At 34.0% G+C, this 16,135-nt stretch overlaps 1 long non-coding RNA gene across 2 annotated transcripts in view; it reads left to right on the top strand.

The window, feature by feature from the left end:
* Positions 1-16,135, top strand: part of LOC105374438 (uncharacterized) — a 37,090-nt gene that overhangs the window by 15,021 nt on the left and 5,934 nt on the right. For both annotated transcript variants that reach the window (NR_188377.1, NR_188376.1), the window contains one exon: positions 7,778-7,926. This is a non-coding gene — a long non-coding RNA (uncharacterized LOC105374438). The remainder of the gene's footprint in view (positions 1-7,777; positions 7,927-16,135) is intronic.

Genomic DNA, 16,135 nt, shown 5'->3' with positions numbered 1-16,135 from the left:
GCAGCATTTATATTTTGTCTAGGAAATTTTTTTGTTTTGAAATAGCAAGTATCTAAATATACTGTCAATTTGCTTACTGATAGTTTCTCAGCCACATAAGCAGTTTGTGTTCATCTTTGTTTTTATCATAAGTATGACAGGCATTTTAATGGTAGTGGCTTGATCTAGAATGATAGTTATAGCTTTTTCTCTGCCCCTCAAAAGCACTCTAAATCTTTGTAAGTAAAGGAAGATAGCTGAGATTGACAGTGTTTTCTGCATTTGCTGAGATAGAATTTTCTAAATATTTTATGTGTTCATGTGAAATGTTGTAGGACTGCAGTATTTATTTTGGTATGAATTAAGGGGTCAGCTCTATCTATGATTGATTTTGGTTATTTCTTGTTTAACAGAGTGAATAGGAAAGTGGACTTTATTTTTTCATCTTGAACCTCCTAATTGCCCAATTGATCTACCTTAGTTGGATAAGAAAGAAAGTTCCATTTTGTATCTGTCATTGTTCTCTTCTTTGTAGATCCACCAAAAGCAGGAGGGTGCAAATGAAGAATAAATGATTCTCTCACCTCTTCAGACCTATTTAATGAGAATATTCAAGAGTAGGGAACCAATAATCCTCATAAGTGATTCAATCCCTACATGATTTCTATGCGGTCAGCCCAAGTCTGAAATATCTTCTTCATTTAAATTGCTGGAATCCTTCTCCTTCTATTCTTTTTAAGATCATCATCACATCAGTGATTTCTTACATTATTCAGGTTTCATATTAAAGGTCTCTTTTCCAGAACAGTTTTTCCTGCTAACCTAGCTAAATTAGGTATCTTCCATCCTTATTGTATCCCCATCAAAAGCCTTTACCCTTCTTAACTTTCTTTGATGTATTGACTTGAAATTGCCTAATTTACTTATTTGTTAATGTGTTCATTGTATAAATCCCACTAGAAATTAAGCTACATGTGGGTCTGTCTCCATTGTTTATTGCTACATTCCCATAACTAGAATGAATTTGGCTCATAGTAATTATTTTAAAAATTAATGAATGAATGAATGAGTTGTGTAGCTAGCTGTATTATGTTGTTGACAGTCACAGATAATTTTCAGCCTTCGTGGAAAGCAACCCTACTTCATTTATTTCTGTGCCTGGAAAACTATGCTGTAAGTGTAGCAAATTATTTCTCTTAATATCTCTTTCCAAGATAGCATTCTACATTTAATGTCAAAACCAAGGCCAATTAAAATATGTCATTAAAAGGGAGATTGTTAGAGCTAAACGGGAAATAGGCAAACATAATTATTTTTATTTGTGAAACGATAAGATCAATACAGAATGAATAACTGATTTATTTAAAGACACAATGGTTCATGAGAGAACTAAGTCCATAACTTAGATTTACTAATTCTTCAATCTAGCAGTGTGTCCACAGCTTTCTGTTGTTTAATGAGAATTCTTAGTGTTGGAAATCAAACTCAAAGGGAATTTGCTTACTGCACAAGAGGAAGAGAACCAATTTCAGCCCCTTTTAGAGTTTAAACCTTGTACCTGACATGTGTGCGTTTTCTCCCTCCAGCTGTCTTTACTTTGTTCCTCTCAATGTGGTGATCATTGTTTTTATAAACAGAAATATGCTTCCTTAATGTGGCTTCAGATAAGGTCCATGAACACTTCATTCTACAAGGCTTCATATAAAATTTATATAAAAGGCATTGGCTAAATGTTTTCTGATTGGTAATTTATCAGCTGTAAATGGAGTTATTTTTTTTTTAGTTATTTCTTTTTATCTAAAATTTCTGACATCTCTTTTGGGATTATTATCGAGTTTCTTGGTGATCTTTTCTAAACTGCATTTCAAATGGGAAACATTAGTATTGTTTGATACACATCATAATTCAAAAATTGAAAGAAAATATTTTCAATAGCAGAGAAAAAACATAAAACTAATTTTAGTTAATAAATATTAATTTATTTTATGAAAAATTTTATCATGGCTATCGTGAGTAGCTGTCCATATTGTTATTAAAAATCAGCTTCTAGGACAATCACCAGGTTCAAGTATGTTCATAGCATTTAAGAAAAATGTGTTAGAGCACATGAAATATCAATTTTGTTTTTTAATTTCTTGCCATGCCAGACCTTTGTGCCAGCTCCCTCTGCAAATATTGCCCCTCCCATAAATAAACATGTCCCCACTATTTCTTAGAAAAAGAAATATTGATCAGACCTTTGAACTATATCCTTAACAAGAGAGAGGCAGTTTCTGTAATTATCCACAGGAAGTCATTTCTAGTCATCATAGTTGGTAAGAATTTTCTAAAGGTTTAGAATTCTGGAAGAAAAGTAAAACAAAGCTTATGACTATTGCAAAATTTCTGCCTTTAATGATCCTTAATGTGCAACCCTGCTCCCTTTTTCCTGTACCACAAGCAGATGGCATTGATAGGAATCTACATATCGCCATGTTTCAGAATCCAAATTTTTTTTTTCCCAATACTTAGAAAGAAACGAAGTTTCATCAAGGACTAGTTGAATCCTAGTCCTTAAGTCTTTATTTCCTGAATAATTTCCTGGATAATTTGCAATGGGCAAATCTAATCATTGTGGGAAAATCTCAACTCTCATCTACAAGGCTGCTCTCAAGGCTTCTGGAAGCATATTCAGAGCCCATGTTTGAATTTGGAAAGGTATCTCCTGCAGGCAGATAGAAAACGATGCATCTCAGAGGATCACATCTACAGAGTTTACAGCTCAATGAGTAGATTCCACTTCTGTGCAAAAAAGACAAAGATGTTCCTTTCTTCCTTCCTCTAGTGGGAACCACTCCTGTGCCAGGCTGAATTCCAGTCTCTATCTGTCCCCAGGCAGGCTGCTTTTGTCACAGTGTGCAAATTGCATGGCTGTGCATAGCAGCATGGCTATGGCTTTACAGAAGGTATCAGAGAAAGATAGTTCAACATCAGTGCATTTTTCTAAGATCTAAATAAATTTAGTCAGAAATAATAGCACCAGTGTCCTCCGAGTTTAGCACATCATCATTCCGAGCCAGGTTGTACTTTGCCAACAACATAGGAGAGTTGTTTTCATCAATTCTCCTATGATAAGAGGTGAACAGTATATTGGTTGGAACCCTTGTTGTTTTAAGGGTCTATATTCCAGATCCCTCAGGAGCTACTGCTGAACAAGAGCATCCCAAACTCTGCAAGAATAAGCCATGACTTAAAGACATAGGACACTTTAAATTTTTCTTTAGAAGAAACAAAACAAAACATTAATCTAAGTGAAGCCTATGCAGGGATATAAATTTGCTACAATAAACAGTAAATTTACCCTGGTAAATATAACACTTAAATGTGTGATCCGTAAGTTATTATTTTTAGTTGCTTCCCTGTATTCAGGCTTGCCTAACTCACAAGTTTCTGTGGAGTGATTTATTTTTCACTGTCTAAAGGGAAATGGCACAAAAATAAATTCAAGTTTTAATACTTAGTTAACAGAAATTCCTTTTCACTTTTAAATGATAGTTTCCTAACCTATAAAACAATAATAGCAACGTGGGCTCAGTCTCCAACTAGGGAAATCCCTATATTGTCAGAGAAAATCTTCATCAGCAACATAAAAAAGTAATGTAGCAATGAATTAATTAAGTTCCTAAAGTGATCTTGAGAATAACACAGATCTACTTTCTCCTCATTCTCTTTCCATTTTTCCTCCCTCTACTGCCATTAGCTATGGAATATTTCCTTTTAAATTTTCTCAGTTCTCATAAATGTTCACCTAAGGAGAATCACCCAAGATAAGTTTGAATTCCACGAGAGGATGAGGGTTAAACAAGAAATAAGAGGCTGATTCCAAGATATGGATTAGGTTATTTCCATGTTTACAATATAGCCCATCTCTGGTTTATAGTTGATCTCCTCTGTGTTGATCCCCATAGTGAAGGTGATTGGGCAACAGTGGAACAGAAGTGATTTCTTTCCCCGTGTAAATTATGCACCAATACTTTAGCAATTAAGCCCAATTTCCCCTTAATTTCGTTTTGATTGATCCAAGTGTGAAAGCATACCAGCTTGTCTAATACTTTACATAACCATTTCCCCTATATGAAACTTAATGAAAAATCTGTTTGGGAAATTTGAATTTTTCTTATAATATAACTATTTTTTAAAATGTATAAATTCTACCAAAATTATGAAATCTTATTTAGAATTTAATATTTTCAGCCATTTCTCAGATGGCATAAACAATTGGCTAGTTCTATATTATGAATATCTAAAGGATGTCAGAGTGCTAGTATTTTAATCCATACTTCAATTATTTAAAATGGGAGCATCACCTCTATTTTTGTATAAGCAGAGAAGAAAAACACAAAAAAGCTGACACTTGATTATTGAACCAATATTGTCACTTGGATCCGTTAAAAATTACTAACCTGCGTTTGTACAGAGAAGGTACTAGGTTATTTTCAATTATATTTATAATGCAAAGTGAATCATTATTAAGTATAAAGCTATAGTAAAAAAGTGCCACCAAATTATAAGACTAATCATTGATGACGTGCCAGTATCAGCAAATTCCAAATCAATTTTGATGAACTCTTACTGATTTATTGTTTCTTATAGTTATTATCACATTTTTCTTATATATAGAACAATAGTAAAGTTATTTTTAATCTGCTAAGTGAGAAAACTTCAGAAAGAGTACAAGCCCCAATTATTTTCTTGTATATTATCCACATTTGCTTCCTTTATATATTTTTCAGTATCTGAAATTAACTCATTTATTAATTGTACATTTGCTCATATTCCTTTATACCAATCAGAATGTAAAGTAACAGGTCACTCCTCTTTTTAACAAAGTGTCTGTAGCATCACTTTCAACTGTGACAAATTCTAGACTCTGCCAAATACTAGACACCTCATAAATATTTTTTGAATGAAAAATGGATAATGAAGTATACTATGCATTGTATATATTAAAATATTCGTTCATTAAATAAACACTTATTTGCACCTCAGATGCAAAGAAATTTTATAAAACATAAAAAATTATGTTACCTTAAATAGACATAGAGAACAAAATCAGATACACATGTGCTTAGTTTTCCAGCTATTCTAAGACTTATTTTACTTGGATTCGATTAAGATTTCTCATTTCAGAATCAACAGAAGTCAGAAAAAATCTATTAGCTAGTATTAACTCTAAGTTGGGAAAATGTAAACAGAAAGTTTTATTTTTATTTTTATAGATTTAGGGAGTACAAGTGCAGTTTTGTTAGGTGTATACATTACATAGTGGCTTAGTCTGGGCTATCAGTGTAACCATTACCCGAATAGTGTACATTGTATCCATTAGATAATTTCTCCTGTCTCGATCTCCTCCCATCCTCCCACTTTTTTGAGTCTCCAATGTCTATTATTCCATTATATCCATGTGTACACACTATTTAGCTCCTGCTTATAATGAGAATAACTGACCTTCTGTTTCTGGGTTATTTTACTTAGGATGATGGCCTCCAGTTCCATCCATGTTGCTGCAAAAGACATGATTTTCTTTTTTTATGGCTGAGTAGTGTTCATGGTCTCTCTCTCTCTCTCTGTATATATATATATATATATATATATATATATGTGTGTGTGTGTGTGTGTGTGTGTGTGTGTTTATGTGTGCATGTGTCCATATGTATGCCACATTTTCTTTACGGAATCATCCATTCATGAACACTCAAGTTGATTCGCTATCTTTGCTATTGGGAATAGTGTTGTGATAAACATGTAAGGGCAGATGTCTCTTTTATATTACTTCTTTTCTTTTGGGTAGATAAATAGCAGTGGGATTGCTGGGTCGAATCCCAAATGGTAGTTGTATTTTTAATACTTTGAGAAATCTCCATTCTATTTTCCATAGGAGTTGTAGTAACATACATTCCCTCCAACTTTATGTAAGCATTCCCTTTTCTCTGTAACCTCACCAACATCTGTTATTTTCTGACTTTTTGAAAATATCCATTCTGACTGGTGTAAGATGGTATCTCATTGTGTGTTAATTTGCATTTCTCTGATGATTAGTGATGTAGAGTATTTTTTATGTGCTTTTTGGCCATTTGAAAAACATCTGTTAATGTATTTTGCCCACTTTTTAGTGATTTTTTGTAGTGTTTGAGTTGGTTGAGTTCATTGTAGAGTCTGGATATTATTCCTTTGTCAGATGCATGGTTCACAACTATATTCTCTGATTCTGCAGGTTGTCTGTTCATTTGATTGATTTTTATCTTTCACTGTGCAGAGGCTTTTTTGTTTAATTAAATTCCACTTGTCTATTTTTGTTTTTGTTGCATTTGCTTTTGAGGTCTTAGTTGTGAATTATCATCCTAAGCCAATGTCCAGAAGAGCATTTTTCTAGGTTTTCTCCCAGAATTTTTATAGTGCAGAATAAAAGTTTAAAATAAACTAAGCAATGTGTAGTTTAAATAATGCTTTAAGAGGCTTAATGATAAAACATAGTTCTAGTTTGAAACAGTTAAATCTCATGAAATGTAATGACTTTTAACCTTTAAAAATGACTAAAAATTTATTCCTTTTTTAAAATAATAAAAACAAATCCAATTTTAATTGAGAGGCCTTGTTTAGTGTAAATTCATTTCAAACACTGGTCATTCAGTCAAACCACAGTTAGTTAATGTACTGCCAACTAACTCACTCTCCTATCAGCAATTGTTTATATGTATACATTCTTTCACATAATACTTTCTTAACTATAAATATTGGTCATTCTATTTTCCAAATCTATAACACAGCTAAAAGAAATTTCATGCTACCTTTGTAGTGTCATGAAAACAATGAAACACATTTTTTTTTGTTGTTGAGACAGAGTCTTGCTGTGTCCCCAGGCTGGAGTGCGGTAGCGCAATCTCAGCTCACTGCAAGCTCTGCCTCCTGGGTTCACGCCATTCTCCTGCCTCAGCCTCCCGAGTAGCTGGGACTACAGGCACCCGCCACCACACCCGGCTAATTTTGTTTGTTTGTTTGTTTTGTATTTTTTAGTAGAGACGGGGTTTTACCGTGTTAGTCAGTATGGTGTGGATCTCCTGACCTCATGATCCGCCCTCTTCAGCCTCCAAAAGTGCTGGGATTACAGCCGTGAGCCACCGTGCCCGGCAACAATGAAATAATTTTAATATATGTAATTATCCTGTATTATCATACATCATTCCTCACTCATTGTACATGCATTTGTTGAGTGCCGACACTAAGTCATGCAGTGAAAGGCTTGCTATGAATAATACAAATAATAGCTATTTCCTGTAATACAACTCCAAATCTTACATATTGTATTGATGATTAAACTAAAACACTTACTATACTCTGAAATAAGTAGAGCATATGTATTTACAACATACTGAAAGTCCTGATATTTTAAGTATAGATTAACTTACTTTAACCGAAGTATTTTTAAAATGTATTTTATTGTATGTAATTAAGCGTACAACATAATCTTTTAATGTAAATATACATAATGAAATGATTACTATAGTTCAGCTGATTAACATATCCATTATTTCAATTACCTTTTTTTATAATAAGAGCACCTAAAATATAATCTCTTCACAAATTTCAAGTATAAAGTACTATTAACTATTTTTTCTCAAGCTGTACGTTATGTCTCTAGACTTATTCATTCTATGTGTATGCAACCTTTTGCCCTCCAACCTCACTCTTCCCATTCCCAATCTCTCCCATCCACCTATTCATTGCCTTTGGTAACCACCTTTCTGCTGTTTGTTTCTAGTATGGAGACCCTGCCATTTACGACAACGTGGATGTATCTGCAGGACATTAAGACAAGTGCAATAAGCAAGACACGGAAAGAAAATATAGCATGGTCTCTCTTATATGTGGAATTTTAAAAATTAACTCTGAATACTTTGGATTAAACTGGTCAGTAGAACAATTTCTATGATCTTAAAATAGCTGACCATATAGAAAAACCTACATTTAAAGTGTTAGATTTTTGTTATTCATTAGCTTTTCCTCAATAAATAAATATTTGTTTAGTAATTAGCAAAACATAGCTATCAGCTCAGCACAGATTAATGTCAGTTATAAATTACTTAACTGAGTGTAAATAAGAACTCTCTCTTTTTGAGGTTTATGATTTGCAAAGGATTACTAAAAGGTATTCTAAAATTGATGTCACTGGACCTATTTATAAATAGGATTCTCAGGAGATACACTTTGTATGTGATACTTTATGGGAGAGGAAGACATCCGTGTTATTTCCCAAGGTCATGTCTACTCACTATGCCTGGCAGGCACACTTGTAATATACCATAACTCTAAAAAGAGCTGGATCAAGGATTTACCAGGTCACAATTTCATCATCCAAAGTCAATGGCTGCTGTCTAAAGATTTGCAACACAGCTGAGACATTGAAATTTGTTAGAAATGTCTAACAGTTCCCATTTCAACTTCTGCCATATGAAAGGATTAATGCTGTGCCATTTAAAAGAAATGTTTTATCTTGCATTAACTTTCTTGATGATTGGTGGAGCTTTAATCAAGTAGGACAGAAAGACCAGCTATTCAAACTACTGAATACTGAAAAGGTCACAGTATTGCAGAATACTCCTGTAATTTACTGTCTCCTATTACATACTCTGAAAACGATCACACTCCCTTCTCAAAGGCAAAACACTAACTATTTGACAAAGTCACCATACTCACTGAATGCAGCTCTAGTTTAGGTCAAAGCTGATAACATTATGTATGTAGCCTGTATGAAAGCATTACTCTGATAAATATAGCATAGTGGAATTAAATCCTACCAAATTCAATTTACAATCATCTTTATCATTAGGAATGTAAAAGAGAATCATGTTTCATAAATAATGAAATTATGTTTAAAAAACCCTTGACGGCACATATTTAATGTCTGAACGCTTTCACTATTCCAGATGCAGCAGTCATCCAAGAGATGTCCACATATGTACTCCTGTTAATGTTAGTTCCTTTCATCCAAGCCATCAGAGGTTCTCCCTGGATCTCATTTTTGGGGTGATGTCCTATACTTTTTTTTAAATCTCCATTAACTCCTCTCCTTAGTGGTTTTAATGGCATATTCATACAATATTAGAATGAAATTTGTGAGTCAATATTAATTTCCAGGTTCATAGTCTCACAGCTTGAACACAAACTATTCAGACCTTTGAAATTACCTTTATTTCTTTACTTCCAGAGTAGCTGACTTTTTCATTCTCTGCTGGAGCGTTTGGGCTGATTCATCACCCCCTCCCCCACCACCATTCACTGAATGTAGCCACTGGTCGTGGCTGCCTTTTCTGCTATTTTATAGAACCAAGCCTGAATCTATAAAGCGCTTCCCTTGGTACCTCCCAGAAACTTTTTATTGCCTGTCTCTTTCTGTCAACTCAGTTGCAGAAAAATACATTTTATGGCTCCAGTAATTTAAGAAAGGTATGTTTAAAGAAGAATCATAAATGTTCATCTTACATTGTAAAGAGATTGTTGGTACAGATAGATTTTTTTGAATGATTTTGTTTTCAGTTTTATCAGAGGATCACAGAAAGCTTATAATAAATAATTTCAGTTCCCCTCTTACCCCAACCCCACTATTCTAAGCACTTTTAATTCTCTTATACATTCTTATCTTTTCCACTAACATATTGTTAAAAAATGCTTGATTTTTTACTAACTTCAGACATTATCTACTGACTTTTTATTATGGTAGAGTTGTGTTAAGTATATGTCAACACTCTCACCTCTTTTTTGCCAAGACATCACATTGTTATTCTAATTCTTCTATTGGCTACTTCTCTAACTTTCAATAGTACAGTTAGTTTAAAAGTGTGTTGCACCATCACCTGTGGAGAGCATCTCTTGATTCCTCGTATTTTGAGGACATATAATTAGCTCCTATATACTCCTTTGCTTTTCCTCACTGCACCCAACTTCTTTGCATTGTATGCTTCTATCTATTTTTAACATCATGGGTTAATGTTTTATATTTAGTTGTACATTGACTATATAGTAAATCTGAAAGTTAAAATCAATAGATACAATTTGTAGAATTATCTCCAAAGACCATGTAAATGCAGTTAGTTGTATGTCCAGTAGTTTGACTATGTTTCCTCTAGGTAATTTTGTTTTGTTTTGTTGCATTATAGATTACTAAGGATAGTAAAATATGTGTCTCTTTCTCTCTCTCTCCTGCAGCTATCTCGCTCTCTTGCAGTTTTCCATTCTCTTCCTCTAATCCGAGTATTTGGTTTCTAGACTATCTGTACAACTACACTACTTTCTACATTAGCCTATTTTTACTTTCTTGTGATGAATCCATTCTTTCCTAGATTCCATGTTTTTTTTGTTTGTTTGTTTAATCTCTCAATTTACTGAAACATATTTTAAGAATAAGTTTGTGAGACTGCTTTTTTTTTGGAAAGCTTTTATTCAACTCCCCTTTTAAACGGATAGTATAGCTTAACATTAATCTGGCTCATTAAGTTTCCATGGTATGCAAAGAAACCCTGAATATTGTTAGGATTTGTCTGGCTGTGAGTCTTTTTTCCATCATTTCTCAATGTGCCATTGTGGCGGGCCAATTCTCCAAGTCTGTCTGTCACACAGACAGGCCTGCTGACAGTCACACAGACAGGCCTGCATAGCACTCCAGTTACACAGGTGGATTTCCACAGCACTGCTTTAACATTGAGCAAATAGTTAAACCTAGGGAAATCGGTGCCCAGCCATCAAAGCTAGAAATGAAACATATGGTCAGCAGGAGCCTTGCATAGGCTTCTCCCTAACCTGCAGCAAGTCAAAATAATAGAGACAGTCTTACATTCCTAGTGCCAAGACTCATCTCAGGTCAATGGAATCTGAGACAAGTCAAGGTAACAGACGCAGCTGTGCAAATAGATTCCATTGGAGAGTCTAAGGCAGCTCTCCGGACCAAAATGTAAAGGGGATAAGACAGAAATAATCATTCTGGCACCACAGTAGACAGGTCTTGAAGGTACTGGGGCCCTTTTAATCAGACTTAGCAAGCATTTTTTGCCTCTGACCTTCTAACTGAAACAAAATTAGTTACCAATAGACTTAGGCAAATGCTATACTGCACGTAGGCACGTAACCCCAACCAATGTAAGCACTAAGAAAATTTTAACACTTTGAGTTGGTCTCGTGGAAATATCTCTGGCCTTCTCGCTATATCCAGTTATAGTAATAAATTCCCTTCTTTCCTAGTTCGTGTGCTTCTTGTTATTGGGCCTCAAGAAAATGCAGCTGGACCTGGCTTTGTTCCAGGAACACCATGGGGCCACTTCAAATTGAAGACATGTATTTAAACATTTTTTCCTACTTACTCTCTTATTTACATCTTAAAATGTAAACTGTCTAATGTTAACGTTGCTCCCATATTTCTTCTGGTTGTAGTTCCATGACACATATTTCTCATGCCTTCAAAAGTTTCACTTTACGTGTGCCTTTTAAAACAACATACAGCTGGATTTTTATCTAATCCAGTTTGAATCCTCTAATTTTTATAGAATATCTTAATTCATATGTGTTTATTGGAATTATTTATATATTTTGACTTACTTCTGTCTTCTATTTTGTTTTTGCCTATATGGTTAATGTTGTTTCACATGCATAGATGAAAAACTATGATAGGTGTGTAAGTCTGCTAGGGGTCCCATAACAGAATGTCACAGACTGGGTGAGTTAAACAACAGAAATTTATTTTGTCTCAGTTCTGGAGGCTGGAAGTCCAAGATTGAGTGGCTGGCAGGGTTGACATCTGACAAGGCCTCTCTCCTTGGCTTGTGGGTGGCCACCTTCCCTCTGTGTCTGTTCCTCTGTGTGTGAGCACCCCTGGTGTCTCTTCCTTTTGTTAAAGAACACCAATCCTCTTGGATTAGGTCTCCACCCTAATGACCTCATTTAACTTTATTACGTTTTTGAACTCTATCTCCAAAGATAGTCACACTGGGGGTCAAGGGCTTCAACACCTGAATTTGGAGGGGACACAAATTTTTGTATGTTTTAAATATCTGAAATGATCTTTTTTACATCCAAGCAACTTTTCCGTAAGGAAGGCCATGAGGTGAATAAAATTCACTCATTTGTATTATTGTGTAATAATTCTAGTTGTTTGATCATGGTAGAAGCTTTCTATGTTACCTTATTTGAAAATGATAATATTTCTACTTACAAGAAATTGGTAAAATATTGTTATCCCATGAAGTTCTTGAACAGGGAATTTTTCTTTGTTTGTTTATTTTAAGAAAGGCAGTGGAGTGTAAACTGAGATAAACAATGAACAGGAAAGTTGACTTCTTTTGAACCATAACTTAACTTGTCTCTTCTAATATTTACCAGACAACATAACTGGTTCAAGTTATTTCTCCATTTCTCTAGTCACAACAGAGAATATATTGACAATTAGGTGACATAGTCAATAGAGGAAGGTGATCATCATGATTACAAAAAAAAGCAACTTGTTAGTAGAAGCATTATCAAGGGACAAAGACTAGAATTTATTAAGCACCTACTAGGCTCCAGGTATTCTCATGGCATTTTAATAAATATTATTTTACTCAAATATTAAATCTTGTAAGTATTATTTCAATTGAAGCTTTGAAAGAAAGTAAAAAAACTACTAAAATTTACTGACATAAATATACAAGTAAATATGAGCTTTATCCATATTATTGATAATTTAAAAGAATGAGTTTTTGGTTTTACTTACTTCCTGAACTTACTTTTTAAATTTTTTGATATCTGTTTGTATCTTTATTTTTGTTTTCCTTCTCCTTACTTTGCACTTAACTTCCTTTTTACTTTTTTTTAATTATTTAAAGTAGAAATGTGGCACATTGATTTTAGACTGGGAGTTGAAAAAGTATGACTTGCAAGCCAAATTTGAGCCAAGACTTATTTTTCCATGACCCTTGAGCTAAGAATTGATTTTATGTTTTTAAAGAATTGTAAAAGCCACATAAATAAGTAAACAAAGAATATTTACAGAGACTATAGGTGGCCCTTAAAGCCTAAAATATTTACAACCTGGTCCTCTACAAAAACATTTTCCAATCTCAGGTTTAGACCATGTAGATTTTATGAAATTATTGAGGTTGATGATGTTAAACCTACCATCTTGCTATTTGTTTCTTTATGTTTGATTTGTATTTAGTTCTTTTTTCTTCCTTCTTTGCCATCTATTGAATGAAGCTTTTTTTATGCTTCTACTTTATCTTCATAATAGGATTATAGCTATAACTATAAGCTGTAGCAATAACTCTTGGTTTTAGTTTTTAGTAATTGCCCTAAAATTAATAATATATGTATTTACTCATCACAATTCCTCTTGAAATGATATCTTGCACTCATAATATTGTAAAATCCTTACAAAAGTGCACTTTCGTTTTACTACTCATGTTCTTTATTCAATTGTAGCGATATATTTCATTTCATAATACCTAGAACTCACAATATATTGTTAGTATTTTTGCTTTAAGCCATCAGTTTACTTCAAAAGATGTTACAAATGTTAAAAAGACATTTTACATTTGCCATATATTTACCAGTTCTGTCACTTTTCACTCATCTGTATAGATAGACATTTCCATATGGTACAATTTTTATTATTCCTGAAGAACTAACTTTACCACATTTCCTGTAGTAATGCTCTGCTGGCAATACATTTTCTGTTTATATTTTTTTCTGAGCAATCTTTATGTTCCTCATTTTTGGAATATCTTTATTAGCTAAAAATTCAGGCTGACATGTATTTCCTTGCAGTATTTTAAGATTATTAAAATTACCTTAAAGATTATCTTTCAGATAATTTTAATTTAAATCTTTAAATTAAATTTTAATTTAAATTTAAATCTTTAAGATAATTAAAAACAATTATTCCATTGTTTTGTGGCTTGCATAATTTCAGATGAGAAATTTGCTATAATTTCTATCTTAGTTTCTTGGTACAAAATATGTCTTCCTTTCAAGAGATGTTTCAAAATTTTCTCATTATCAATCCCCCTGCTCCCCTGCTCTTTTTTTTTTTTTTTTTTTTGAGACGGAGTCTCTCGCTCTTGTCGTCCAGGCTGGAGTGCAGTGGTACAATCTTGGCTCACTGTAAACTGCGACTCCCGAGTTCAAGGGCTTCTCTTTCCTCAGCCTCCCTAGTAGCTGGGAATACAGGCATGTGTCACCACGCCCAGCTAATTTTGTATTTTTAGTAGAGACGGGTTTCGCCATGTTGGCCAGGCTGGTATCGAACTCCTGACCTCTGGTGGTCCGCCCTCCTCGGCCTCCCAAAGTACTGGGATTATAGGCATGAGCCACCCGACCCAGCCTATCAATCCCTTTTAACCATTTTATTATGATACCTCTGAATGTAATTTTGTAATCTTACTTTGGCTTTGGTTTCACTGAACTTCTTATATCAAGAGTTGCAGTTACTAAATTTAGAAATACATTGTTTCTAGTTCCCTGTGTTCTCTTCTGTTTTTCTGGGGCTGCTTGATAATTTCCCCAAACTCACTGAGTCACTTCCCATCTGTGTACTTCATTTGGAATGTTTCAAAAACTATGACTTAAAATTTGCTATGTGTTTTTCTTCTTCTTGAGTGTCTAATATGATGTTAAACTCTTCCAGTGTGTTTTTCATTTTAGAAACTTTTTCATCCCTAAATGTTTCATAATTTCTTTTAGTTCGGTCTTTACTACTGAAATAATTTTCATTTTTGTAATTCATTGCTGAAATCTGTTAGTTTTTATTCTGTATCCTCCTATTGCCTAGTCATAAAATTTTAAAGATTTTAAAACTATATAAATATCCTTATTTTTTGTTTTTTGCTTTGTTGACCTTTCATGTCTTATTTTCATATTTGTTTGATTTTTATATTACAAAATTTTGATTAAACTTTCTTTGAAAGGTTTTATCCTTTTAAAACAATTTTTAATACTATTTTAAAATTCTAGATTTTATTTTTAGTTTGTTTTGTGAACATGTTTTATGGTTTATTCTTTTTTGCCATGAAGAATATCAGTATGGGCCGGGTGCGGTGGCTTATGCCTGTAATTCCAGAACTTTGGGAGTCCAAGGCGGGTGGATCACGAGGTCAAGAGATGGAGACCATCCTTGCCCACATGGTGAAACCCTGTCTCTACTAAAAATACAAAAATTAGCTAGGCATGTTGGCACATGCCTGTAGTCCCAGCTACTCCAGAGGCTGAGGCAGGAGAATCGCTTGAACCCTGGAGGTGGAGGTTGCAGTGAGCCGAGATGGAGCCCCTGTATTCCAGCCTGGAATACAGAGAGCAAGACTCTATCTCAGAAAAAAAAAAAATAGTATGTTTAGTTCTTCAGCTTTTAAAAAATAATTTTAAAGATTTAAATGCTGTACTTTTTAGGATTCTATGTTTAACATATGTTTATGTGCTATTAAGATGGGAATTTCTAGAGTAACTTTCCAAGTTCCATGCCTCAAGGTATCTTCTACCTTCACATTTGTGGCCAATTATTTGTGTCTCAATGCTCTTCTGGGTCAGGAATATTTTCTACCTACAGCCCTATACTCCAGCACAACATGGTGATTTAATCCATAGATGTTATATTTGATGCTTGCAGACCCTGCTGGGATCTATTTCTCCCAACCAACTGTGCCTCATCTGGTATTTCTGTTGTTTTCAGTTACCTTACTGTGTCCCTGTGATTATGTCTTTGGGCTAGATTCCTCTTCTTTGGGAGATGGTGTTAATGCTATTATAATATGTCAACTTGCCTAGGCTGTAACTCCCAATAATCCAATCAAACTTGAATTCAGCTATTGCTTTAAGGATATTTTGTGGACGTGATGAACATCTATGATCAGTTCACTTTAAGCAAATGAGATTATGCTAGATAATTTGAGTGAAACTGATTCAATTGGTGGAAAGGTTTTAAGAACAGAATAAGGTTTCCCTGAAGAAGAAATTCCATGTGGAGACTGCAGCTTCAGTTCAGGGCTGAAAGTTCCAGCCTGCACTTGCTGACAGCCTGCATTATTGATTGGATTTTTCTTTATATATATGATTCTGTTTCTCTGGGACAACCCTGGCAGATACAGGGGGTATTGTAATATTT

Source organism: Homo sapiens, chromosome 4, assembly GCF_000001405.40.
Source record: "Homo sapiens chromosome 4, GRCh38.p14 Primary Assembly".
In the NCBI taxonomy this organism is placed as follows: Eukaryota; Metazoa; Chordata; class Mammalia; order Primates; family Hominidae; genus Homo; species Homo sapiens.
This window is presented reverse-complemented; position numbering and strand designations above follow the sequence as displayed.